A 26,363-nucleotide genomic window follows, 5' to 3' on the forward strand; every position below is an offset into this window, starting at 1 on the left:
GTTTTTGTTGGATCATGTTGAGTCTGTCAGCTCCACAGGACTTCAGTACGTTTCTGAACAGTCCCTGCCATCTCTACGGGGGAGAGGGTCAGGCAAGCTGCAAGTGACACTCACCTCCTGCTGACAGTTGCAGTGTCTCAGATGGCCTGGAAGGGTGGTCTCCAGCAGCCTGCTGGGCGCTCCCCTTTCATGAGAGCCACCTGCAGTGACCTGAACTGATACATGTTGATTAGTCTGCCCTTTCTTTAGAAAACTGCTACTCTCCTTTTCATATCTCAGAAAAACAGTAGAGGCCTTTTAGGACCAAACTCCATGTCACACTGATGAAGAGCCAGTGGGGGTTAGAGCGTCCTGTTAAGGCACATGCTAACTTCCCACTCAAGTCTGGCAGCGCTGGGGCATCAGCACACCTCTTGCCACCCACACTGATACCAGAGGGGAAGGCTGTGAGGTGGCTGGGGGTTGAGACTTGAGGTTTCTAACTTTCCTCTGCACACCTGTGGCTACCTGGTGTTTGTCTCTTGATTCCCTCCACCTGCCTCACACCCTGCCTCCGTCGGGATTTTCCACCTACACCATTCAAAAGGAACATAGGAGAGGGCATGAAGGGGCTAGGCTGAAGCACTCTGATGACTGGGGCCAATTTGTGGCTGAAAATGAATACATTTTTTGAAATTTATGGTCATTTTCAAGTGATTTAGAAGGTTGATCCTTAGCCTCATACAGTGATGAAATAATCTGTGTGTTCAGAGCCAAGCAGGACTTTAGCAAGAGTCTGATTGTATTGTCACTATCTCGGGGAAAAAAAAATACAAATACATTTCTCTGATCTCTGATGGCAATGAAGTTTGACTTGTAATTTCTCTGGCTGAGGCTTCTTAATTGCTTTCTGGGCAGAATGTAGATTTTGGATTCCTGTCCATGATGCCTAATGTTGATCTCACTTTCCTTGTTTCTCTCAGTTGCTCATTAATGTGTATTTATTAAAAAAAAAAAAAAAGGATATGGGGCATGAGGTTAGATGCCATGCATATAAGTTGCAGTGGGTGATATGTGCTGAGTGACTTGGGGTCTGCCCCGGCATTCACTTATACTTGTTTCTTACTAAGAAATTGAATGTGCTTTAAGCTGAAAATTAGAAAGCAGTAGGGAAGGACAGGCTGGATGGTTTGGGTTGTTGGTTTAGGAATAAAATGCCCTTTTGTTTTGGTGGTGGGTGATGCCATCTATAGAAGGGTTTTAGGTCATTGTGTTGGTGTCTTTCCGTCTTTCCCACTTGAGACCCTCTTGTAAATATGGACTTGACCCACCCATTGTACTCAGAAGAAACCTCAAAGATTGTACTCTACAAAGTAAATAGGTTGGTATCAATGATTATTGGAACTAGAGAGCCGAGGACAAGTTTTTTGATGTTGCCTTCTTTTTATAGTATAAAATATTCTAATTTTAAGTATTTTTGTTGAGATATAATTTACAGACAGTAAGGTATACAGATCATATTTTTACAATTCAGTGAATTTGGGCAATTGTATCAGCCTTTGTAACTCACACTCCCATCAAGGCCCGGACCATTTCACCTCTGAAAGATCCCTCGTACCCCTTCCCAGTCAGTTGACCCCTCTGCCCCAGGCAGCCACTGTTGTGATTTATTTCACCATAGATGAGGTTTTCTTGTTATTGAACTTCATATAAAGGTATTCATGCTACTCTTTTCTATGTGGCTTCTTCCTCCCAGTATGTTTCCAAGGTTCATTCATATTGTTACCTATTTAATTCCATGTTGGTAGTCAGGTACTTTTTATTGCAAAGCAGTATTCCATTGGTACAGGTTTACCATAGTTTGTTCATTCATCTTGTGATTAGTGACACCATTGTTTTCAGTATGTATTTATTTATGTATTTTTTGAGACAGGGCCTCCTTCTGCCACCCAGGCTGGAGTGCAGTGGTGTGATCTTGGCTTACTGCAGCCTCGAACTCCTGGGCTCAAGTGGTTCTGTCACCTTAGCCTCGCAAGTAGCTAGAACCACAGGTGCACACCACCACACCTGGCTAATTTTTTTTTGTAGAGAAGGGGTCTTCACTACGTGCCCAGGCTGATCTCGAAATCCTGGCCTCAAGTAATCCTCCCACCCACCCCTCCCAGAGTGCTGGGATTACAGGGATGAGTCCCTGCGCCTGGCCTGTTTGCAGTTTTTAGATATTCTCCTGTGTTTTTTTCTAGAAGCTTTAATTGTGGCTTTAGCTTTTATGTTTAATTCTATGAACCATCTCAAATTAATTTTTATGTATAATGTGAATTGAGGTTCAATTTTTACACACATATCTGTAAGAGAGATACATATATATAAAATACATACCTGTGATATTATATAGTCAGTCGTTCCAGCACCATTTGTGGAAAAGACTTTTCTTTCCACTTAGCGTTGCTCTGGTACCTTGATCAAAAATCAGTCGACGACATGAGAGTGGCTCTATTTCTGGCTGATATTGCTTTCTGTGTATTCTGGGCATGACCAAGAGAATGTCTGTTGGCAAAGCTCCATCTCCTGATGCCATTCACCCACTCTTGGTAAAGCGACTTGATGTTTGTTTTTTTTTCTGTTCTCTTCTGCCCCAGGGGACTCAGAAGAAGATCCTTGACATTGCCAACATGCTGGGCTTGTCCAACACAGTGATGCGGCTCATCGAGAAGCGGGCTTTCCAGGACAAGTACTTTATGATAGGTGGGATGCTGCTGACCTGTGTGGTCATGTTCCTCGTGGTGCAGTACCTGACATGAGCCAGCCACGCTCAGTGGCTGAACAGCATTCCCACAGCCTGCAAGTGTGTGTGTGTGTGAAAGAGAGAGGGGGGCCCAGAGGCCGCCTTTTGAAATGTTTGCCTGTCTGAACTGTGAAGACACTTGGGAGTGATTGTGGTCTAATTTCCAACCTGCTCTGTTTTCTGTGACATCTTGGAGGGGGAGCTAGTGCCACCACCATGCGCGGTGCTTAGGAAATGAAAGAAGTCCCGGGTCTGTCTCTCTCACTCTCGCTCTCACTGGGGGAGGGAAAGAATGGCTTTGGTGGCTTTGTTCACATAGCTGATGCGTGCCCTGGGAAGGTGTCCACAGTGAGCCCTGTGTGCAGGACTGTCCACACGGTTCACACCTTGTCACCATCAGGCCTTTCTGGCTCCTGATAGGGTGGAGCAAAAGTGGAAAGGAAAGGAAAGAGGCCTTTTCTCACAGCCATTATATTAAATAGTAGGTCGATTCACATCCTCGTGCTCCTGGCCACCCTCCCCTGTGCCTCAGTGACATGTAGATGACTGACTGCCAATACTTGTCACCATTCCCTGGAAGCAGCTACCTAGGGGAAACAAGATGTAGTGCTATTGCCGATAACAAGTAAGATTTTCCACACTACAGCTGGGTGTTTCTCTTTTCTAAAGTGAGGCCAGTGTTATTTCCCGGGAGTGTTCAGTCTTGACCCTAGTCACTGATTTTTTCTAGTTGTTAATAGAGTGGTTGGCTTTTAAGGTTCAGAGACTGTGGCTTGGCACCTGCGCCCAGGCTTTGTGGGCCTTTGCCCCTTAGAAAGTAGCTGTAGGCAAAGATTTGTGATTTTCCAATTACAGTCTCAGCTCTAGTTTTAGTATCTCTAATTCTTTGGTTCCCTTCTCTTCCCTGAAATATATTAGCACCTGCCAGCCAGGCCCTCATTTTGCCCAGCCAGTGTGGGCAGATCCCACCGTGGAGACATCTGTAGTGTGTATGTCCTTGTAACACTCTGTTTTCAGGGACTACAACCTTTTTCCTTCTGTGACCAGCCCCGGATTCAGGCTGTACTAATACCAGGTATATTGTGGAATTTAGTATAAAGGCCAATCTGTCCTGAAGTCCATCTAATGTGGTGAATCACTGAAAGTCTCAGAAAGACCTGGTTAGTGTATGTTCTCATTTACCACAGGCCTACCAGCCCTGGGCACAGCAGCTTCATGGCAAGACATAAAATGACACTCAAAATCCTTCAGATCTGGAAACCGGCTCAGTATTAACCCTACCTTTGGTTGTCCTGCCCTACCTGCTCTGTTAGTTTCTTGTTGCTTGAACTGTCTTCTGTCTTATTTCCCTTCCTTTCTGTGTTCCTCTTCACCTCTCTTGTTCCCCTCCCCGCTGCTCTGTAGTCATGTTGGTCCTTTCAGGCACCTCTGTGGCATAGCTCCCCTTTGGTAAGTTTTCTTAATTGTCATAGATTAACTGAGTTTCCTGGATGCTAATTTCACACTTTCGGTTGGAGGAGATCTCCATTGTTCCTACCCCTCCGGGCCAAATGGGCCCCAGGTTTCCAAGGAAGGAGCAATCTGTGACTCCTAAAATGGGTTGGGGCCCTGCCAGAGTTAAAGCAGTGACTGGAGGGTGGACTGGGGGGTTGCAGCATCTTTAGACCTAGATCTGTCTAACTCTGGGGAGGCACATTGACATTTCCATTACACACAGCACTGCTGCGGTGCCAGGGACCTAGCGCAGGACTTTTGGTAATCCATAAAATGGATTCTGAGACTGCGACGGCAAGGCTGTCCTGTCCCCCAGGCACCCAAGGATCCTGCCAGACAGCACACTTTGGAGGAAGGTCTGCAGGGAGCAGCTGAGCCATTTGTTCTTGAACTCTGGGAGGCAGAAGTCCCCGCACCCATCATGCGTGGACTGATAGGACATCTTTTCGTGGTGTGCACCAGTGCTTTCCACACTTGACAGTGGTTGGCTTTGATGAACCCTCATGCTGCACCTTCAGAGCCAGTCCTCTAGTTTGGAATAAAAATTGCAGAGGTGGTTTTTGGGTCTTTACCACCTGCGGCTGGTGGACAGCAGCCAGTGTGTCTGGACACCCAGGGGCATTGAGACTGCATGTTGTCACATGACCACTTCTCTTCACACATCTGCTTTCAGTGCCTGGTGAAAAATAGACCTTGGCCTAACAGTGTGACTCTCTCCACCGCCTCAGTGTAGGGAAGGGTCCAGGCCAGGGAAGGAGCACCCTCTAGTGGAGGCGGGGGTGAATTCTTAGGTCGAGCTGATGCAAGAAACTCCGGTAGCCAGCCTCTGTGACCTTGTACATGAGTTTGGTGTGCCTATTGTGATTTAAAACAGGTGGGTTATCAAGAGGAACTTGAGATCTCTTTATTACATGGACATTTACTTCAGGGGGACCACTGTAAGAAAAGCCAAACTCCAAGACCAAGTAAGTTAGAGGAGTCTTGATTTTTTAGACTTCACTGCGGAGTTCTGTACACCCTTTGCCCTGATGAATTTGAATGGGTTTGATTTGCAAATTTGGATTTACACCCATTGTTTTGGAAGCACATCAGCTGAATAAAGTTGAGGTTTATTTTATTTAGAAAATCACATTTTGTAAAAGAATTCGATATTCATTTTTATAACTAATGGCCCCCTTTTTTTATGTTTCTAGGCCAGAGATTCTCAAACACTGCTCCATGGCCAGGGGCTGGGCTGGCTGCTTCAGAAGCAGTGGGGAAGCTTTTTAAAATTACATATTCCTGGGGCCTACCCCAGATCTGAATTAGAACCTTTTTTAAATCTCTAAGGTGATTTTATTTTATTTTTTATTTTTGAGACAGTCTCGCTCTGTCACCCAGGCTGGAGTGCAGTGGCGCAATCTTGGCTCACTGCATCCTCTGCCTCCTGGGTTCAGGTGATCCTCATACCTCAGCCTCCTGAGTAGCTGGAACTACAAGTGTGTGCCACCATGTCTGGCTAATTTTTTTTTTTTTTTTGTATTTTTTAGTAGAGACAGGGTTTTACTATGTTGACCAGATTGGTCTTAAACTCCTGGCCTCAAGTGATCTGCCTGCTTCGGCCTCCCAAAGTTCTAGGGTTACAGGTGTTAGCCACTGTACCTGGCCTCTAAGGTGATTCTGATGTGTGTATTTTGGAACCACTGTCTCCTAGACAGAAAGCTTCTGTCTCAAAGATGATCACATTGGTGTAAAGAGCAAAACTTGTTAAGTCCAAAATAAATTCTTACTGTTTATATCCTACCTTAGTCCAAAAAAGATTTGAGGAGACTTTGAGGAAATAACTGAAACAGATACAAAGAAGTGAGGCACAAGAACAAATCAAGTCAGTGTAGAATGTCGACATCAGGACAAGGAACTCAAACGTTGTAACACCCTAAGAAATGTTTGGGGAACCCTAATTTGACTTTCAGCTCCAGTAGCCAAAGCAAAGAAAGAAACGTCATCTGTTACTGTCTCAACCGGGGGGTGACATTTTCTCAAGGGAAAGCCTAGGCCCTTCATAAACAGCTTGCCTGTAGGCCTCACGGAGGTCAGACAGGGATTTTCCTGGCTCCATCCCTGCCAATCTGAAACCCTCTCACTTATGTTCTCCATCATTTATCCTCATTATGCAGACAAGGGGCTGAGCTGTGGTGACTGTGAAGGCCTCACAGGAGTCCGAGAGGAGCTGGCCCCTCATCCAGCTTGGAACCATGGGCCCACTTAATCTCCCACACTTCTCGTGGGGTGCTCTGCTGGGGTCTGGGGGGATTGAGAGGTGTGCAGGGGACTGAGATGGTGCAGCCTGCTGGCATGGACTATAGAGCTATAAGGTGTTTGCTGCAGACCCTTCAGATAGTATAGGGCAAGTTCCCTGTTGGGAAATAATTTCCTAACTGGAAGGGGAGGGAATCTGAAGTGAAAGCTGTCCTCAGGCCTTGCCCCTAGGGGGCGGCATAGCCCTATCTGTGGCTAGTGGGCCCTGAACACACTGCCTTAGGCCTGCTGTACTTAGAAGCTGAGAAAGGAAAGTGTCATTCCTTCCCCATTTTCTGTGTCCTTTTCATTTCATATGGAAGGCACATGGGAGAGGAGTGTTCAGGGGTGCTGGGCCCCCAAGTGCTGTTGGTAAGTTCCCCACCATGGAGCCTCTGTGAGCCATCCCTCCCCGCCTCATCCCCATGTCCCTCTAGTACAGGGTTCCCAACCTTGGCTCTGCATTGGAATTCCCTCGGGAGCTTTAAAAACCCATGTGTGGGTCTTCCATTCACCCTCTTATTAATTGGCCTGGAGTGCAGCCGGGGCATTGGGAGTTGCCCAAGGCGATTGTAATGCCCAGGGGTAGGGAGCCGATGGCTCTAATACAAGAACATCAACCCAAGGCTAGCCCGTCCCCCATGCACTTCCCCTGGCCGCACCGTGGGAACCACTTGCAGAGACCAACTAGGGGCAGGGATGGAAGCCTGATTCTCCCTCTGGATCAGAAGGAGCCAGATCCCTTGTGGCCATTGGGTGCCCCTCATTAACTGACACCTCTCTGCTGAGTAAAGCACCTTGATGTGACAGGCCAGCTCTTCGCTGCCCCTGCAGTGCAGCCCCCAGCCCTCCCCACCACCCCTGCCTGGTGTTCCGTCCTCCCTGGACTGCTTGGTCTTCTCAGAACATGCCACACACTCAGTACAGCTGCACCTTTGCACAAGATGTTTCCTCTCAGATGTGCCACAAACACCCCCACAATCCCATGAAACCTCCAAGAAGCCTGCCCCTCCCCTCCAAACAACCTCATACTGCACGCTTCCTGCGGAATGGGAGTTGCTCCTCACCGCAGGGGCCTTTGTGCATCCCGGGCACGTAGTAGGCGCAGGCGCCATCGGGTAAGCGGCTGCAGGAGAGCACTTGAGCCCATCCCCCATGCAGGGCCAGCAAAGCTGTTGCAGCCAGGCCAGGAGGAAGCCAGAAGGTTCAAGGCCACTGATGCTACGAGCCATGTGCTCACAGGGCCTCAACAACAGCAATGACTGCAGTAAAAGAGGAGAGGCATGGGGCCCCGTGAGGGAAACTGTCACTCAGGACTGGGGAGAGAGAAGTAGAGTGACCAACTTGTCTGGGTTTTAAAGCTGAAAGTCCTGAATCCTGGCGATCCCTCGGTCTGATGGTCACCCTAGATAAGCTAAAGGCTAGGACAGGCGTGACTAATGCAGGGTATCTAGGAAGAGGGGGCTCTCGGAGGCTGACTCCTGGCTTAGCAATTCCATTAGTGTGGTTCCACTGGCCCTTCCTTCCAGGCATCTGTGACATGGTGGCTCCTGGAGAGCTGGCAGAGGCTGGGCCAGGCCCAGGAGGGAAGTATTCCAACCTCCTCAGAAGACAGTGGCTGACAGTACAAGAGGGGACATTCATCTTTATTCCGTCTTCCAGAGCCCTGGCATGTGTCCAGTGCCAGTGTTAGCTGTTTCAGGGCAGAGGGAAGGAGTTGGAGACAAGCAGCCCTCCGCAGTTTGCACTGGTTACAGCGGCCGGAGGCTGTGGTAAGAGCGCTGAGCCCAGGATGCAGAGCCTGGCTTCAAGTCCCAGCCCTGCTGGCAGCAACCACGGGCCACACACCTCTCAGCCTCAGCTTTCTAAGAATGGGGGTAACACCTGTCCCACGTCCCTTTCTGGGGTGGACATGAGGCCCGAGTCACGTAGTGCTTTTGGCAGATTCCAGAGGTCTGAGGCAGTGACCCTCAGCCTGGGCTGCTTCCTGGAGTCCCCCAGAGAGTTTGGAAGTCCCGATTCTGGGCCTCGCTCCCCAGAGATGCCGAGCTACCTGGTCTACAGTGGGGCCTGGGCTTCAGAATTTTTAATTTTCTTTTTTTTTTTTTTCCTCTCATTCTGTTGCCCAGGCTGGGGTGCAATGGTGCAATCTCGGCTCACTGCAGCCTCTGCCTCCTGGGTTCAAGCGATTCTCCTGTTTCAGCCTCCGGAGTGGCTAGGATTACAGGCACCCACTACCACGCCCGGCTAATTTTTGTATTTTTAGTAGAAACGGGGTTTCTCCATGTTGGGCAGGCTGGTCTCGAACTCCTGACTTCAGGTGATCCACCCACCTCGGCCTCCCAAAGTGCTGGGATTACTGGCATAAGCCACCGCAGCCGGCCTTAATTTTTAACTTTCTAAGGAGTCTCCTGTGAGGTCGAGATTGAGAACCACGGCTGTCAGTGCATCCCAGGTGCAATGGAGTATCATTCCTGTTCAGCTGGAAAGACAGGATCTACTCGTGAAACAACCGAGGTTGAGAGGTGATAGTTTAGTGCGGCCATTGTGGTGGGGGCATTAACCAGGAAGAGCTTTCTGTGAGAGGGCGAGGTGATGGGTGTGTGAAGGACAGGAGATGATGTGGGAGCAGTCGAGGGGCAGGAGTGGCCTGGGGGAGGGAGGAAGCTCTAACCAGCCCTGGCTGCTGTGGGCTCTGAGGCCTGATGTGCTGTCTTCTGCACGACATCCTCCACGCACTGTCCTCCGTGTTCCAGCTGGGAAACTTGCTGCTCAGAGGCCTGAGTTCATGCTGCTGAGATGCTACTGAGAGCTGGAGAAGCTGTCAGGCTGGTGTGGGTGTGGACAAGCCCTACTGTCCTAGGAAGACCTGCCCATGATCTTTTGAGGTGCAACGTAGTGTGATGGGGGTGGTGGGATAGTGTTTGAGATGGGGTTGGCAGACATGGCGTAGAATCCTGACTTTGCTGTTTATTAGCAGCCTAACCTTGGGCTTAATCACTCCAGCCTCAGTTTCCTGTCTGTATTCAGCTCAAAACAGAATTGCATCTTTGCTGGGTGGTAACTCATCAGAGAGGAACAGGCGTGGGCTATGCAGAAGGGAAGCAGTTCTCCCTTCTTTCCAGCCCGAGCAACAGGATCCACATTCTTTCAACCAAGACCACTTGGCCCTGCTCACCTCCTGGCAACTTCTGGCCTCCTCTAAGAGTTTCTTGTGCCCCAGGCATGTGCAGGGACTGAGGCAGAAGCTCAGGGAGTGGGGACCTCTATAGGAGGGGAGAATAATCACTGCTGCCCCCAGGACCTCACCAGGTGGTTGTGAATGTCAAAAGGTAAAACCCTGGAGATAAACCCCTGATCGCTGCCGGGTGCTGTCCAAATTATTGTTGCTATGTGCATGGAGTGGGTATAAATTCCGTGTCCATGGTGATTTCTTCCAGGAAACCATTTCTTTTTTCCCCCTGTGGCAAAGGGCAGCCTCTCTTACCTCAATCCAGGGGCCCTGGGAGACCCTTGGAAGGCGGGGCCTCCAGGGCTGAATTCCAGAACAGCAGCTGTGGCCACCTCCTTAGGCCACCTGGGAATCAATTCTCTGTCGTCACTCACTTGGAGGAAACCACATTTAAATTAAAAATGTAGGCTGGGCGCGGTGTCTCATGCCTGTAATCCCAGCACTTTGGGAGGCCGAGGTGGGCAGATCTCCTGAGGTCAGGAGTTCGAGACCAGCCTGACCAACATGGAGAAACCCTGTCTCTACTAAAAATACCAAAAAAAAAAAAAAAAAAAAGAAAAGAAAAATGCCAGGAGTGGTGGCGCATGCCTGTAATCCCAGCTGCTCGGGAGGCTGAGGCAGGAGAATTGCTTGAACCTGGGAGGCGGAGGTTGCAGTGAGCCGAGATCACGCCATTGCACTCCAGCCTAGGCAAGAAGAGCAAAACTCCGTCTCAAAAAAAAAAAAAAAAAAGTAGGTGGCCTGGGATATTCCCTTTGTGGAAAAAAAAAAAAGAAATAGCTCAAGCTCAGTATTGCAGCCCTTAAACAGAAAAGTAATTAATAATTATGAGAGGCCAGGCATGGTGGCTCCCACCTTTAATCCCAGCACTTTGGGAGGCCAAAGCAGGTGGATTATCTGAGGCCAGGAGTTCGAGACCAGCCTGGCCAACATGGTGAAACCCCGTCTCTACTAAATATACAAAAACTAGCCAGGCAAGTTGGTGTGCGCCTGTAGTCCCAGCTACTTGGGAGGCTGAGACATGAGAATTGTTTGAACCCAGGAGGCAGAGGTTGCAGTGAGCCGACATTGTGCCACTGCACTCTAGCCTGGGTGACGAAATGAGACTCTGTTTCAATTTTAAAAAAACAAAAATTATGAGATGTCGCGGGGCAGCAGTCAAGTGCCAAGCAAGTGGGGTAGATATCAGAGGGTGGAGAGCCCACCCAGCAGTGAGAGGAGGCTGCAACTGACTGCTGCCCCTGGGGAAGGTGGGACGGGGGCCAGATTCACAGGGGAGCCATGTGAGCTTGGTTCTCAGCAGGCTGGGTTTGGAGTGGATTGTGGAAAGAGTAGGGACGTATTAGGGTGAAGCTGGAGGTGGGTGTGGAGGAAGGCCAGGGGACCCTGACATGAATGTGGATGCAGGAACCCTCAGCTGTCTCTGAAACCAGGAGGGCTGGGGAAGGACCCTGTGCATGTCCTAGATTCTGTGGCCCCAGGAGTTACTGCTCAGGAAGCAGGGCAGCCTCCTCTTTGGTGTATGTGTGCAAGAGAGAGGTCGTGGTGGGCTGTGGGTTGTTAGTCTCTCTCCCAGGAGCACCTGGCAACCTGAACTACCCCTGCTCCCTCCCCACCCTGCCCCAGATCTGGTGAAACCACCAACCAGGCGGAGGCAGGGCAGAGGCTGTCACTGCCACACACCTTCAGAGCTCCCTACAACTTACGTTCATGCTGCTGAGATACTGATGAGAGCTGGAGAAGCTGTCAGGCTGGTGTGGGTGTGGACAAGCCCCACTGTCCTAGGAAGACCTGGACATGATCTTTTTAGGTGCAGTGTAATGTGATGGGGGTGGTGGGATGATGTTTGAGATGGGGATGGCAGACATGGCTTAGAATCCTGACTTTGCTGTTTATTAGCAGCCTGACCTTGGGCTAATCACCCAAACCTCAGCGTCCTGTCTGTATAGTGAGAATAATAATAACTACCTCAAGTGGTAGCAAAAGTGCCTGTATTTGAGAGCTTGTCCGTCACTAGAAATAGTTTTTTTTTCTTTTTGAGATGGAGTTTCACTCTTGTTGCCCAGGCTGGAGTGCAATGGCACAATCTCGGCTCACCGTAACCTCCGCCTCCCGGGTTCAAGCGACTCTCCTGCCTCAGCCTCCTGAGTAGCTGGGATTACAGGCATGTGCCACCACGCCTGGCTAATTTTTCGTGTTTTTACTAGAGACAGAGTTTCACCATGTTGGCCAGGCTGGTCTCGATCTCCTGACCTCAGGTGATCCACCTGCCTTGGCCTTCCCAAAGTGCTGGGATTACAGACGTGAGCCACCGCGCCCAGCCTAGAAGTGATTTTTGTCAGGAGACAGAAGACCTTTAGTGATTGGAGTCAAGCAGGTGGAGTGTGAAGATCAGCTCTGCCCTTTAGCTGTGGAACCTTGAGCAAGCCACCTCACCTCTCCACGCCTCTGTTCTGTCACCTTTTGGAGATGAATAATGCCCATCTCACAGGGCAGCTGTGGCCAGTGCATACTGCCATGCCTGTAAAGTGCCTACTGCACAGCCCAGGACATAGAAAGATGGTAACTGAGGTTTTGTTGTGGTTGTTCACTAGCATTGCATAGGACCCAGGTCTGATCCCTTCATTCAGCTGGTGTGATTGTGAGTCAAGGATCTGATATCCCCAAAGAAAGGACTGCAAGTATTTGCCAGTCAGACTTTATTTGTTACAAGATACGATATTGCACATGTATTCCTGTGTTCTTCATCAGAAGACCTGAATTCAAATCTCCAGTTCATTACCTATTAGGACTTGCTCACTCCCTCTTTCTCTCCCAGCCTCAGTGTCCTCGTAGGGGAAATGGGAATGCTAATAATGGCCTACTTCACAGAACTGTGGTGAAGACAAAGCCAATCAAGCATGTGGATCAGTGAGTATGCGCAGGGCTGCAAGGGCCAGAAATCCCAGGATCTTACTGCTGGGGTTAGATACTGATCTAAGGAGCTTAAGTAGTAAGAACTGTGGATGTGGGGCAGCCTGCAGAGCTGGTTGATTTAGGGCTCGGTGACATCATCAAGGCTGGGCTTGGGACTGCCTGGGTTCCCTGAGAGGCGTGGAACCATGGTGGGAAGATGTAGGAAAGATGAGGATGATGATTGACAGATCAGTCTGGAATTGTTGCCTGCTAAAGTTCATTCATCCATTCTTTCGATAGCTACGAACTGAGCACCCACCAGGTGCCAGTCACGGGACTGGGCCTTGGAGAACAGACGTGACCCACCTGCATTGTGATCCACTGCTGTGTAACAAATCACCACAAAACATAGGGGCTGACGGCAATAGCTCTCAGTTGCTACACCTCACAGCCTCTGAGCATAAGAACTGGGGACCAGGCGTGGCTGGGATAGCTGTCTCTGCTCAGCGATGTCTGGGGCCTCAGATGGAAGATTTGAAGGCTGGGAGGAGAATCATCTGAAGGTTCACTGATGTGGCTGGCACACAGTGTCGCTGGGCACACAATGTCGCTGAGCCCTGGACTGGGGCTATCCTCTGGAACACCTGCACACGGCTTCTCCATGGGACCAGGGCTTCCTCAGGGCATGATGACTGAGTTCCAAGAGTGAGTATCCCAAGGGAGAGAGCAGGTGGGATCTGTGTACTTTCTATGACCAAGCCTCGGAAGTCATAGGGCCTCTGTTCTGCCATACTCCTTTGGCCGTGGTGATCACAAGCCATATGGTCACAAGCCCCCAGCTGCCTCTCAGTGGGAAGAATGTGGGTCACATTCTAAGAAGAGCAGGTGGGATGGAATTGACACGGTGGGTGGCCATCTTTGGAGAGTACAATCTGCCACACTCCCCTTGAATGATGCTCACGTCTAGCTGGGAAGACATACATGAGCATGCAGCAATAAAGTGCACAAACCGTCACACAGGTACAAGGTGCTTAGGGCCATGGCAGAAGTAGTATCTACTTACCCTGGAACCCTGGAGGAGGCTTTTGAGCTGAATCTCAGATGAGTCAGACTGGAGCAGGTGGAGCCTGGGCGGACGGTCTCAGCAGAGGGAGTCATCTAGCAAAGGGGTGTGCTCTGGGAAGGGCAGGAGGATTCTGTGGCTGGAGCTCAGGCTTCAGGTTCAGTGTGGAGGAGGGAAGAAAGGCTGCAGAGGTAAGTTGAGGCCAGACGCGGGGTGCCTAAGAGCAGACTCATTAGTCCCTGCCCTCCTCCAGTCCCTGGTCCTCTGCACACAGTAGGCACTTCATAAATATTGATTGAAATTGGAGTGAGCAGTGTGTGTTGAAGAGGAAACCAAATCCCAAAGAGAGGCCGTGGGGCCTCCTGGAGGGAGCATGGGATAAAGACAGGGAGAACCCACTTTCATATCATAGGAACTTGAGATTCTCTTTCTCAGTTGTTGCCTTTCCAGTATTTTTCAATGTCTCTGCAAGAGTTCACGGGGGCTGAGAGCAGCCCCTGAGTCACTTCTCGTTCCTATCCCTCACCCCCAGCTGGATTCTTGGGTCTTCTTCCCTCCATACTGGTCCCCAGAGAGTGTGGACTCTCTGCCTCTTGTAGGTGAGGAGGAGGCGGCTGGCTGAGGAGGTGGCAGAGGCAAGTGAAAGGGCCAGGAGGGTGAGGATGGAGAGAAGGGGAGGGAAAAGAAGGAGATGGAGGGGGAGAAGATGAAGTTGCTAAGTGTATGATCAGTGCCAGAGCCAAAAGCCCATACTACAAATTGCTTTTTCCTTCACACTTGTCCCAGGGAAAGGCCCAATTAAAATAGCACCTATTGGAAATGGAAGGGTAATTGGACCAGGCAGCTTATTAGGCCCATCTCCAAGAGCATTCAGGGGCAGCCATGAGCTTCAGGAATTTCCACCATGTGAACTTAGCGGGGGAGATGACCCCGAGCAGCAAGGGCTGACAGGATGGGGCTGCCCCACCATCCTGCCTGCCCGGGGCCCTGCTCAGTGGCTTGAGAGGGCAGGGACTGGTCTGTGTGGGGGCACTCTTCTGTGGTGGGGTAGTTCAGTGGGCTGAGACATGGGGCTGATGAGATCAAAACTGTCCAGTTCCAAATCCCAGAACAGAGGAAAAGCGGGGCCAGAAGTGGTCTTGGGGACCACCAAGCCAGACTTTCTGGGGGAGAATGACTTGCCAAGGGTGACCCAGTCGGTGATGAGAGATCTGGAGTCAGAGGGGGAAGTCACCGACTCCCAATCCAGTGCTGCTGCCCAGGGACAGTCTCACCATGCCACGCTGTCCTAAACTAGCCTGTGGCCCTCGCCCCAACTACACGCCCATGGCCTGTCACTGTACCATGTTCATGCCAGGCACAGCTAAGTCAGGGTGGCAGGAGCCACGCCAAAGGCTTCTCCAGCTTGAGGGCATCATCTCTCCACACCCCTCAGTTATTGACAGAAACTGGCACACGCACTGCCAGACCACGCTGTCCCTAGGAGGAGGCAGACAGAGGTGGACGCAGCCCACAGGCTTGGCTGGAACGGCGGGTTCCAGAGGTGCCCGCTGGCCGCCCACAGTGAAGTCTGGTAGGGGTGGCACTCTCCCCACAGGTTACCCATTGGACCAGAGCTCATCCACCCAGAGCCCATTTCCATGACAACAGCAAGCTCCTTACCCATCAATTTCATCCTTAAAGATTCCCACCCCAGCTTTCTGAGCCTGGGCTCCTCGCCCAGCTGCCGCGCCAGCCCACGTCTCCAGATCACAGGTTTAGCAGTGACTTGTCAAGCTGCCAGAGAGAGCCTCCTGGGAGGTGCCTTTTAACTGGCGTAGCCCTTGAAAACGACCATATAATCACCTGCTAATTGGATTAGGAACTTGTTCCCAGGGACTTTCTTTTGCCCCCATGTTGAGGCCACCCTACTCCATTCTTCCGGAACTTAGCATTGGAGAGCTTCCCCGTTCCCCTCTGCACAACCTCCCAGGCCAGGGTAATGCTGACAGGGTTGCCCCAAAGTCAGATAGTGACACAAGAGGAAAAGGAAACCTCTAATTTTCTGGGGCCCAGGTACACTCAGAGAGGAAAAATGGCCCAGGGTGGGAGAACACACAGGGCCCTCTCTTCCCCCACTCTGCCCGCCTTTCAGCCTTGCAAGAAAATCTGGCTTTTCCCTCGGGGTGTTTGCCTCGCTGCTTCTCCCCCCCAGACATCACCTCCCTCACAGCCCAGCTCCATGTTCACCCCCACCAGGAAGTCTTCCTTTCTAAACCGTTTTTCTCTGCATCCTCTCAGAGTGGCTATATTTGGTTCCTGCAATATAACTTCGTATATATTGCATCAGGGAGAGGGGGAGATTCCTGAAGCTGGGTTGTTATTTTTTGTGAAGCTATTTTTTTGGTGCATTTTCTTTCTATTCCAGAAAATTCTTATAGTGGGTGGATGTCATTTATCTACCCAGCATCTCGTCTTTGGACTACAAATCCTTATCCCCTTCTGCTGGTGCCATTGTCTCTCCTTCCTGTGGAAAACCTGTGCCACGGGACTCAGCGAGGGCTGCCTCCTCCAGCAGGGTCAGCGCCTGAAGCAGGCCTGGTCCATGCAGGACTGGGTCAGCAGCCCAAAGCAGTCGGTTTGGGGTGACCACATGACTGCGCGGTGGGCCGATCAGAATCTTCCCTGGAATTCCCATAGACACTGCTGGTTTCCTGACCAACATCCATTCCTCCCCTATTCTCACTAGCTACACGCCACTTTTGTTGATCTAGCAAGAAGTCCAGTTGAAGATATTTGTGCCTCTAGACTTTCTTGCAGGTAGGGGTCAGGTCACCCAATTCTGGTCAATAAGATATGGGCAGAAGTTGCTGGGAGAGACTTCTGGGAAAGGGTTTCAAAAGGAACATGGCTCCTTTAGTCCACTCTTAACTGATGGCTGAGATGGAGACATCTTAACCTGAAGGCTTTTATTCCAGCTATGTGAGAGGCCACCTGAGAATAAAGTGATCCGAGAAGAAAGCAAAACAGAGAGAGAGACAGAGAAAGAGATGGCAATATCAGTTAAGTCCCTGGATTGAGCCATGCCTGAAGCCTCAGAACTTCCCAATTTGGAGAGCCAATCAATAAATCCTTTTCCTACTTAAGCTGGTTTGCACTGGATCTCCATCTCTTTCAGTGAAAGACCCCTCAGTGCAAACCTCCACAAAACCAAACCCATGTCTTTCCCTGCCTCTGTTCTCTCCTCCCAAGATACCCCACATAAGATGCTCGATGCAAAGCTGGCACACAATATTCATTCAAATGACTCTGAGCCCCCCAAATTCTTTTTGTTTTTAAATTTTATTATTATTTTTTATTTTTTTATTTTATTATTATTTTACGTAAGTTTTAGGGTACATGTACACAATGTGCAGGTTTGTTACATATGTATACATGTGCCATGTTGGTGTGCTGCACCCATTAACTCGTCATTTAGCATTAGGTATATCTCCTAATGCTATCCCTCCCCACTCCCCCCACCCCACAACAGTCTCCGGTGTGTGATGTTCCCCTTCCTGTGTCCATGTGTTCTCATTGTTCAATTCCCACCTATGAGTGAGAACATGCAGTGTTTGGTTTTTTGTCCTTGCAATAGTTTGCTGAGAATGATGGTTTCCAGCTTCATCCATGTCCCTACAAAGAATATGAGCTCATCATTTTTTATGGCTGCATAGTATTCCGTGGTGTATATGTGCCACATTTTCCTAATCCAGTCTATCATTGTTGGACATTTGGGTTGGTTCCAGGTCTTTGCTATTGTGAATAGTGCCGCAATAAACATACGTGTGCATGTGTCTTTATAGCAGCATGATTTATAATCCTTTGGGTATATACCCAGTAATGGGATGGCTGGGTCAAATGGTATTTCTAGTTCTAGATCCCTGAGGAATCGCCACACTGACTTCCACAATGGTTGAACTAGTTTACAGTCCCGCCAACAGTGTAAAAGTGTTCCTATTTCTCTCCAGCAGCTGTTGTTTCCTGACTTTTTAATGATCGCCATTCTAACTGGTGTGAGATGGTATCTCATTGTGGTTTTGATTTGCATTTCTCTGATGGCCAGTGATGATGAGCATTTTTTCATGTGTTTCTTGGCTGCATAAATGTCTTCTTTTGAGAAGTGTATGTTCATATCCTTCGCCCACTTGTTGATGGGGTTGTTTTTTTCTTGTAAATTTGTTTGAGTTCATTGTAGATTCTTGATATTAGCCCTTTGTCAGATGAGTAGATTGCAAAAATTTTCTCCCATTCTGTAGGTTGCCTGTTCACGCTGATGGTAGTTTCTTTTGCTGTGCGGAAGCTCTTTAGTTTGATTAGATCCCATTTGTCAATTTTGGCTTTTGTTGCCATCGCTTTTGGTGTTTTAGACATGAAGTCCTTGCCCATGCCTATGTCCTGAATGGTATTGCCTAGGTTTTCTTCTAGGGTTTTTATGGTTTTAGGTCTAACATGTAAGTCTTTAATCCATCTTGAATTAACTTTTGTATAAGGTGTAAGGAAGGGATCCAGTTTCAGCTTTCTACATATGGCTAGCCAGTTTTCTCAGCACCATTTATTAAATAGGGAATCCTTTTCCCATTTCTTGTTTTTGTCAGGTTTGTCAAAGATCAGATAGTAGTAGATAAGCGGCATTATTTCTGAGGGCTCTGTTCTGTTCCATTGGTCTATATCTCTGTGTTGGTACCAGTACCATGCTGTTTTAGTTACTGTAGCGTTGTAGTATAGTTTGAAATCAGGCAGTGTGATGCCTCCAGCTTTGTTCTTTTGGCCTTGGCAATGCAGGCTCTTTTTTGGTTCCATATGAACTTTAAAGTAGTTTTTTCCAATTCTGTGAAGAAAGTCATTGGTAGCTTGATGGGGATGACATTGAATCTATAAATTACCTTGGTCAGTATGGCCAGTTTCATGATATTGATTCTTCCTACCCATGAGCATGGAATGTTCTTCCATTTGTTTGTGTCCTGTTTTATTTCATTGAGCAGTGGTTTGTAGTTCTCCTTGAAGACATCCTTCACATCCCTTGTAAATTGGATTCCTAGGTATTTTATTCTCTTTGAAGCAATTGTGAATGGGAGTTCACTCATGATTTGGCTGTCTGTTATTGGTGTATAAGAATGCTTGTGATTTTTGCACATTGATTTTGTATCCTGAGACTTTGCTGAAGTTGCTTATCAGCTTAAAGAGATTTTGGGCTGAGACAGTGGGGTTTTCTAGATATACAATCATGTCATCTGCAAACAGGGACAATTTGACTTCCTCTTTTCCTAATTGAATACCCTTTATTTCCTTCTGCCTGATTGCCCTGGCCAGAACTTCCAACACTATGTTGAATAGGAGTGGTGAGAGCGGGCATCCCTGTCTTGTGCCAGTTTTCAAAGGGAATGCTTCCAGTTTTTGTCCATTCAGTATGATATTGGCTGTGGGTTTGTCATAGATAGCTCTTATTATTTTGAGATACGTCCCATCAATACCTAATTTATTGAGAGTTTTTAGCATGAAGGGTTGTTGAATTTTGTCAAAGGCCTTTTCTGCATCTATTGAGATAATCATGTGGTTTTTGTCTTTGGTTCTGTTTATATGCTGGATTACGTTTATTGATTTTCGTATGTTGAACCAGCCTTGCATCCCAGGGATGAAGCCCACTTGATCATGGTGGATAAGCTTTTTGATGTGCTGCTGGATTCGGTTTGCCAGTATTTTATTGAGGATTTTTGCATCAATGTTCATCAAGGATATTGGTCTAAAATTCTCTTTTTTTGTTGTGTCTCTGCCAGAGCCCCCCAAATTCTTATCTCAACAAGAGTCAAATAAAGACTTGAAAAGACTTGACATCTAAACTACACTTATTAAGGAAAAACTCATTAATTCCCTATGGAGATCTGAGGCCAAGCACACCTCTGAAGCAGTGCATGGCTTGGAATCCTGTCTGCTCTTCACCGAACCATTCCTTCTGCACTCACCTCCTCCAGAAAGCCTTCCAAACCAGGTCTTAACTCCATCATCCTAACTACCTTGTCAGCACTCACTTTTGTTAACACTTTGATTCAGCAGTACTTGGGTTCCATGAGTATTTGAGCATAGTTGTGTGTGTGTCTCATCTCTCTCACCCCAAACCCACTCCACCCCACCCTACCCTACCAACTGACTCTCCTGAACTCTCTAGAGCAAGAGCTGTGTCTCCATCAGACTAGCAACTTCCTGAGGGCGAAGACTCTAATTCCTTATCCCATTGGGATCCAGATGCTGTCTCTCCTCACATCAGACTGGGAATGGAAAATCTTTCCATGCCCCATGGAGCCTCCTTGGCAAGACAGGAAGATACGGAGTCTGAACCCCATAGAGATGGAGAGTGGGAGGAAGAAGGTAGCCGGGAGCAGTTAGCAGGAGGGTCCATCTTAACCTTCAGGGAAAAACCGATTCACAGCACATAAAGCTAGTTCTGGATCAGAATCTGTTATTCAACAACACTTGCAAGGGTTTAACTCAGATCCTGTCCCCTCTGGGGTAGAAATCTCTACCCGCCTAAGGCCAGGATTCTGCCTTGCCAGTCCTTTTTTTTTTTTTTTTTTTTTTTTTTTTTTGAGACAGAGTTTCGCTTTTGTTGCCCAGGCTGGAGTGCAATGCTGCCATCTTAGCTCACTGCAACCTCCACCTCCCGGGTTCAAGCGATTCTCCTGCCTCAGCCTCCCGAGTAGCTGGGATTACAGGCATGCACCACCATGCCTGGCTAAATTTTTTTGTATTTTCTTAGTAGAGGCAGGGTTTCTGTCTCTACTGGTTGGCCAGGCTAGTCTCAAACTCCTGACCTCAGGTGATCCACCCACCTTGGCCTACCAAAGTGCTGGGATTACAGGCGTGAGCCACCGCACCCAGCCCTTGCCAGTGTTTCTTATTTCTCTTGTCCCTTGATGATTGTGTAATGATGAATCCCTTCGTTAGGAAGCTTGTCAAATGCAAGTAGACGCTGAGGGGGCGGCCATGTGTCTACTGTCTCGTGGCTCCTGTTGGATGGGAGTAGCCTGCGTGGCTGCCAGTGCTGGCTGGAGAGGATACCACCATCTGCTCTCGTCAGCATGCTGCCCTGCCTTTGAGTCCCCTCACTCCCGCCCCAAGACTAAATCCTTGAAAGAGCAGCTCCACAGCGAGCATGTGGCAAGAAAGGATGCTAATGGAGGGAAGAAAGTGATGAATCCCCAAAAGAGTCAGGGAAAGCCACACAAGAAGGAAAAATAGCTGCATAAAGGTTGCGGGGGTGAGCTGGGCGAGGCTGCCCGCTGACAGGTGAATCAAGACTCCAGAGAGCTGGGTACGGTGGCTCACACTTGTAGTCCCAGCACTTTGGGAGGCCCAGGCGGGTGGATCGTGTGAACCCAGGAGTTCAAAACCATCCTGGGTGACATGGTGAAACCCCGTCTCTACAAAAAATACAAAAATTAGGCACAGTGGCATGTGCCTGTAGTCTCAGCTACTTTGGAGGCTGAGGTGGGAGGACTGCTTGAGCCCAGGAGGTGGAGGTTGCAGTGAGCTGAGTTTACATCACTGTACACCAGCCTGGGCAACAGAGTGAGACCCTGCCTCAAAAAGAAAACAAAAAAAGAAACCCAGGCTAAGCGCTGTGGCTCACGCCTGTATTCCCAGCAATTTGGGAGGCTGAGGCAGGTGGATCACTTGAGGTCAGGAGTCTGAGACCAGCCTGGCCAACATGGTGAAACCCCATCTCTACTAAAAATACAAAAACTAGCCAGGTGTGGTGGTGGGTGCCTGTAGTCCCAGCTACACAGGAGGCTGAGGCAGGAGAATTGCTTGAACCTGGGAGGCAGAGGTTGCAGTGAGCTGAGATCATGCCACTGCACTCCAGCCTAGGTGACAGAGTGAGACTTGGTCTCAAAACAAACAAACAAACAAACAAACAAAACCCAGACAGCAGGAAGCCCAGGTGAGGAGAAGGGGAGAGGCAAACAGGACATGAAGGAAGATTTGTTTGGTAGAGAGAAGGGAATTGATGGCAGCCCCAGGATGCAGTTTGAACCTGTATTTGGTAGAAGCAGCGATGGGGAAATGGGCCAGATATCGGACAGGAGAGAGACATGATACAATCAGTGCTAATGATCCAGACATCTCCATGGAGGAGGATGAGCACTCAGGGGAAACGGAGGCAAGGCACTCACCCAGGACGCTGCAGCAGGGATCAGTGTGCCTAGCATGGCAATGGAAGTGAGAGGGAGTCGGAGATCTGACTGAGCGACTCCTAACTTTGAGAGTTGGTGGCTCATTCCCACCAAGGGGCTTATGGCTGCTGCTTTGGGAGTCTTTGCTGCCAAATGTCACTGGCCGGGGGTCACCTCACCCGTAACCCATGGAGAGTGGGTCTCCTCTCCCCATTTGTGCAGGACTTTCTTTCCATTGGCAGCAACTGGCCAGGGGGCCTCAGAGGAGCTGGGAATGGGGAGCAGGCTGCCAAGAAGGTTTGGTCAGGCCAACCAACTTGGAGGGCAGGGAAAGAAGTGGAGCCGTCAACCTTCACATTTTACAGGCATACAAATCACACACCAAATAAGGAGAAATATGGGACACATTTGCACAATAATTCAAGACAGGATCTCCATGGCAACAATTACCCAAAAATCCACTCCTGACAGTTGCAACAGCGGGAGCTAGCAAAGAAGACTGGGGGTGGGAAACGTGTGTGGGGGCTCAGAGAATGGCTTCCTTTTATTCTCGAACTGAAGGAAGTGCTGACGGCAGGAAGCAAGGTGTCTCACAGCCTGACTAAGCCAAGAGCCACTGGAAGTAGGATCTGGAAGAAGCCTTAGAGACGTCTGTGTGAGCTCCTTTTGAGCTGCTTAGAGGCCTGGGTGTGGGATACCACAGTGAGATGTGCCAGTGGGATGTGCCAGCTCAGGGGAGGGGGCCATCAGGGCATCGCCCTCCCACCACTCCCTCTGATGGACAAGAGTTCTCCCTAGCCTCCAGAGGTCCTCACAGGGGCACAGTGAGAGATGGAGCCAACTTCCGGCGAAGTCAAAGGTTCTGGGACATTTAAGTCTGCCTGAAAACTGAGTCCAGTCCATAGAAAGCTGACACATGACATAGGTTAGGAGAACGGAGCTCTAGCCTGCTCTGCTCCCCTCCCAGACTTGCTGTGTGGCCCCTCAGTTTCCTCTACAGTGAAATGTACAACCTACCTCCAAGAACTATTACAAGGCTGAGTGAATAGCATGAGATGGGAAATGCTTTTACCAAAATCACTGCCAATGCAAAAATAAGAGGTTTCTGTGCAGCCATGAAGAGTGGCCTGAGAAAGATAGCTGCATGCAAGGCTGTCCTTAACAGGCAGAGGAGTTTCCTAGGTCAGGTGAGAGTCAGTACAAAGACTGTGGTGGGAATCTAGAATGTGGCTAGGCAGCGATACTGATGAGATGGTGGGAAGTAGGAGGTTGGGCGTAGTGGCAGAAGTGTCACCTGTGTCCTACCACCAGACAGATGGACAGACTGACTGTGAGCTCAGAGCAGGCAGTAGAGTGTGTAACCTCCAATTTACAAACATTTTTAATCACACACCAAAAAGGAAAAGCATTCTGCTTTCTTTTTGGAGTAACATAAATCCAACCCCGTTCCCCACCCACATCCTTTTAAGTGTATTTCTTTTTGTCTGGTAGTCCTCAAAAGCCATTGGCTATTTTTCAGATCCTAGAGCTCAGATTGCCTTAAATCGCTTGAGAAAGGAGAGTTTTTTCATCTTTCTTTTTGGAACTAAGACTTTAGAGCAAAGGAAAAGGTTCTTCTGGGTTTCATTTGCATTTGGAAGCCCAGGTTTTTGGGAAAAAAACACTCTCAAGAGCTTATTACTATTATAAATGTTTAGCCATGTGATTTTTCCTCAAGAGGGCACCCAAAACTTTTCATACCAACTCCCATGGATAGCAGTCCCCTTATGCTGAATTATGGTGGGAAAGGATTAAGGTAGGACATTTCTTGAGCATTTTTTTCCTATTCTGGGCTCTCTCCTTTGCCATCCCACTCTCCACTACAAAACTTTTCCCTTCCCTTTTGTCTCACTAACCATGGAAAGTCCTCCAATCCTTGGAGGTCCTCAGAAGCCATTCTTCCCACCACTGGAGCTGACTTTCTTCCCTCTCCTGGACTGAGCAGGAAGACCGATTCATGAGAGAGCTCCTCTAAAGGAATTCAGGCTGGGCCCTGAGACAGGACATCATGGAGTGGACTTTGGAGTGGCCACAATAGTCCAGATCTGGTCCTCAGCAGTAGAGTCCAGAAACTTGGTTGGGCCAGGACATCCAAAAGTTGTCAGCCTCTCAGGACTGATTCAGGCTAACCAAATTCATTGATGGGCAACCAGAATGCCATTTCCTGAATAATATATCTACCAAAAGACTGGTATCCAAAATATGGAAAGAGCTCTCAAAGCTCAACAATAAGAAAACAAGCAACCCAACTTTTAAAAAGCAAAAGACACTTTACTAAAGAAGATATACAGATGGCACTTAAGAACATGAAAAGATGCTCAACATCATCATTCAATAGAAGACAAATTAGACACACAATGAGGTGTCACTACACACTTGGCATACATACAAACAAACACAACACAAAATCTGACAATATCAAGTGCTGACGAGGACATAGAGCACCTAGAATGCTCACACATTGCTGGTGGAAATGCAAAATGGAACAGCCACTATGAAAAACAGTTTGGCAGTGTCTTACAGAGCTAAGCGTGTGCTTCCTATATGACCCAGCAATCTCATTTCTAGGTATTTACCCAAGTGAAAGGAAAACTTTTGTTCACACATACATAAAAAAACTCTACATGAGGATTTATTTGCAATCACCAAAACAGGATACAACCCAAATATCCTTCAACTGAAGACAGATAAAAATTTAAATTTAAAAACCTGTGATACATCCATCCAATGGAATATTACTACTAAGCAAGAAAAAGGAACGAACTACTGAAGTGTGAAACGATATGGATGCATTAAGATAAGTGTGAGAAGCCAGATGGAAAAGGCAGCTTATTGGGTGATTCCATTTATTTGAAATTCAGGAAAAGAAAAACCACAGGGACAAAGAACAGATCAGTAGTTGTCTGCATTAAGGGAAGAAGAGTTTGTGGATTTGGCTACAAAGTGGCAGCATGAAGGAGTATCTCGATTGTGTTCATGATGACACAACTCTAAGTATTTGTCAAAATATATAGTGCTCTACGTCAAAAAAGTAAATTTTACCCTAAATTTGAAATAAAAATAAAAGGCATTTATAATGACTACTTTGGGGAGAGTTTAAAAAAAACAAGGTGGGAATAAAATACTAGACAAAAATAACTTGGTAGATGAGAGAGATAATTAGAATGTAAACATTTAAAGTCCTGATTTTGCCGAGGATAAAGGTAAAGATATTGATTAATTTCAGACTTTTGGAACAAGGATGCTTTTAAAAATGGAAGGGTAACCACTAAAAAAACAGAAATAATATGTATAATTTTCAAACTAGTAGAGACTATGAAAGAAGTAAGAGAAGAAACAAATATCTGTAATTTTAGCACTTTGGGAGGCTGAGGCAGGAGGATCTCTTGAGGCCTAGAGTTCGGGACTAGCCTTGGCAACATAGTGAGACCCCATCTCTACAAAAAACAAAATAACTGGAACATGGTGGTGTGCATCTATCGTCCCAGCTATTTGGAAGGCTGAGGTGAGAGGATTGCTTAAGCTCAGGAGTTCGAGGCTGCAGTGAGCTATGATCACGCCATTGCACTCCAGCCTGGGTGACAAATTAAGACTCTGCCTCTGTTAAAAAAAGAAGCAAATGAAAAGTGTAGCAACAGCAAATCAGTAGGTAAGATGATAGAAATAATCCAAATATATTAGTGATCACAATAAATGAAAAGATGAAATACGTCTGTAAAAAGATTATATTTTTTAAAAAAGGTCCAGCTGTATGATGTGTACCTAAAATATAACGACATAGAAAATTTGCAAGCAATGAGTTGAAGAAGAGATACACAAAGAAACTAACCAAAAATAAAGCTAGTATAGAAATATTAATATCCAACAAAATGTACACCCTTTATCTAATGCCTACTGTATGCAGAGCCCTGTCTGAAGCCTGTGAGATGACACAGGAGAAACAGAAACATGACTGCTACCCTAGGGGATTATAGTTAGGGGCTGACCAATGATTCCAAATCATTTTATTTAATCAACAAATACTTGTTCAAAAACTGTGCAAATCCAAAAACATGATATTTCTAAAATGAGGATAAGGGAGTGGGGCATAGTTGGAATTCCAAAAATAAAAATAGGGGCCAGGCACAGTGGCTCATGCCTGTAATCTCAGCATTTTGGCCGAGGCGGGCAGATCATGAAGTCAGAAGCTCGAGACCAGTCTGGCCAACATGGTGAAACCCTGTCTCTACTAAAAATACATAAAAAATTAGCCGGGCGTGATGGCATGCGCCTGTAATCCTAGCTACTCAGGAGGCTGAGGCAGGAGAATAATTTGAACCCGGGAGGTGGAGGTTGCAGTGAGCCGAGATTGCGCCACTGCACTCCAACCTGGGCAATAGAGTGAGACTCCATCTCAAAAAAAAAAAAAAG

General features: G+C 48.0%; 2 protein-coding genes across 35 annotated transcripts in view, besides 1 other annotated feature; both read left to right on the plus strand.

Annotated features, from left to right (window-relative positions):
* The window catches only part of LRRC37A2 (leucine rich repeat containing 37 member A2), a 676,337-nt gene that overhangs the window by 563,189 nt on the left and 86,785 nt on the right, over positions 1 to 26,363 (plus strand). The window lies entirely within an intron of this gene.
* Positions 1 to 26,363, plus strand: part of GOSR2 (golgi SNAP receptor complex member 2) — a 52,731-nt gene that overhangs the window by 12,821 nt on the left and 13,547 nt on the right. For 11 of the 34 annotated variants that reach the window (NR_148349.2, NR_148350.2, NR_148351.2 and 8 more), the window contains one exon: positions 2,619 to 2,724. Coding sequence is in view for 27 of the 34 variants with exons in the window: in XM_017025383.3 (XP_016880872.1) it covers positions 2,619 to 2,724 (106 nt within the window). In the remaining 7 variants the exon portion in view is untranslated. Of the gene's footprint in view, positions 843 to 2,618; positions 6,041 to 11,393; positions 11,578 to 12,585; positions 12,678 to 12,962; positions 16,851 to 19,520; positions 25,034 to 26,363 lie in introns of those variants that run through there. The other 23 variants (XM_047437114.1, XM_017025389.2, XM_047437115.1 and 20 more) reach the window with 11 other exon arrangements.
* Positions 6,876 to 7,812: an enhancer, noted in NCBI's record as "H3K4me1 hESC enhancer chr17:45020222-45021158 (GRCh37/hg19 assembly coordinates)". NCBI's record gives its function as "activates a minimal SCP1, AML or CMV promoter by ChIP-STARR-seq in naive H9 embryonic stem cells {active_cell/tissue: H9 hESC(naive)}" and the evidence as "EXISTENCE:reporter gene assay evidence [ECO:0000049][PMID:30033119]".

This window comes from Homo sapiens, chromosome 17, assembly GCF_000001405.40.
Source record: "Homo sapiens chromosome 17, GRCh38.p14 Primary Assembly".
Classification (NCBI taxonomy): domain Eukaryota; kingdom Metazoa; phylum Chordata; class Mammalia; order Primates; family Hominidae; genus Homo; species Homo sapiens.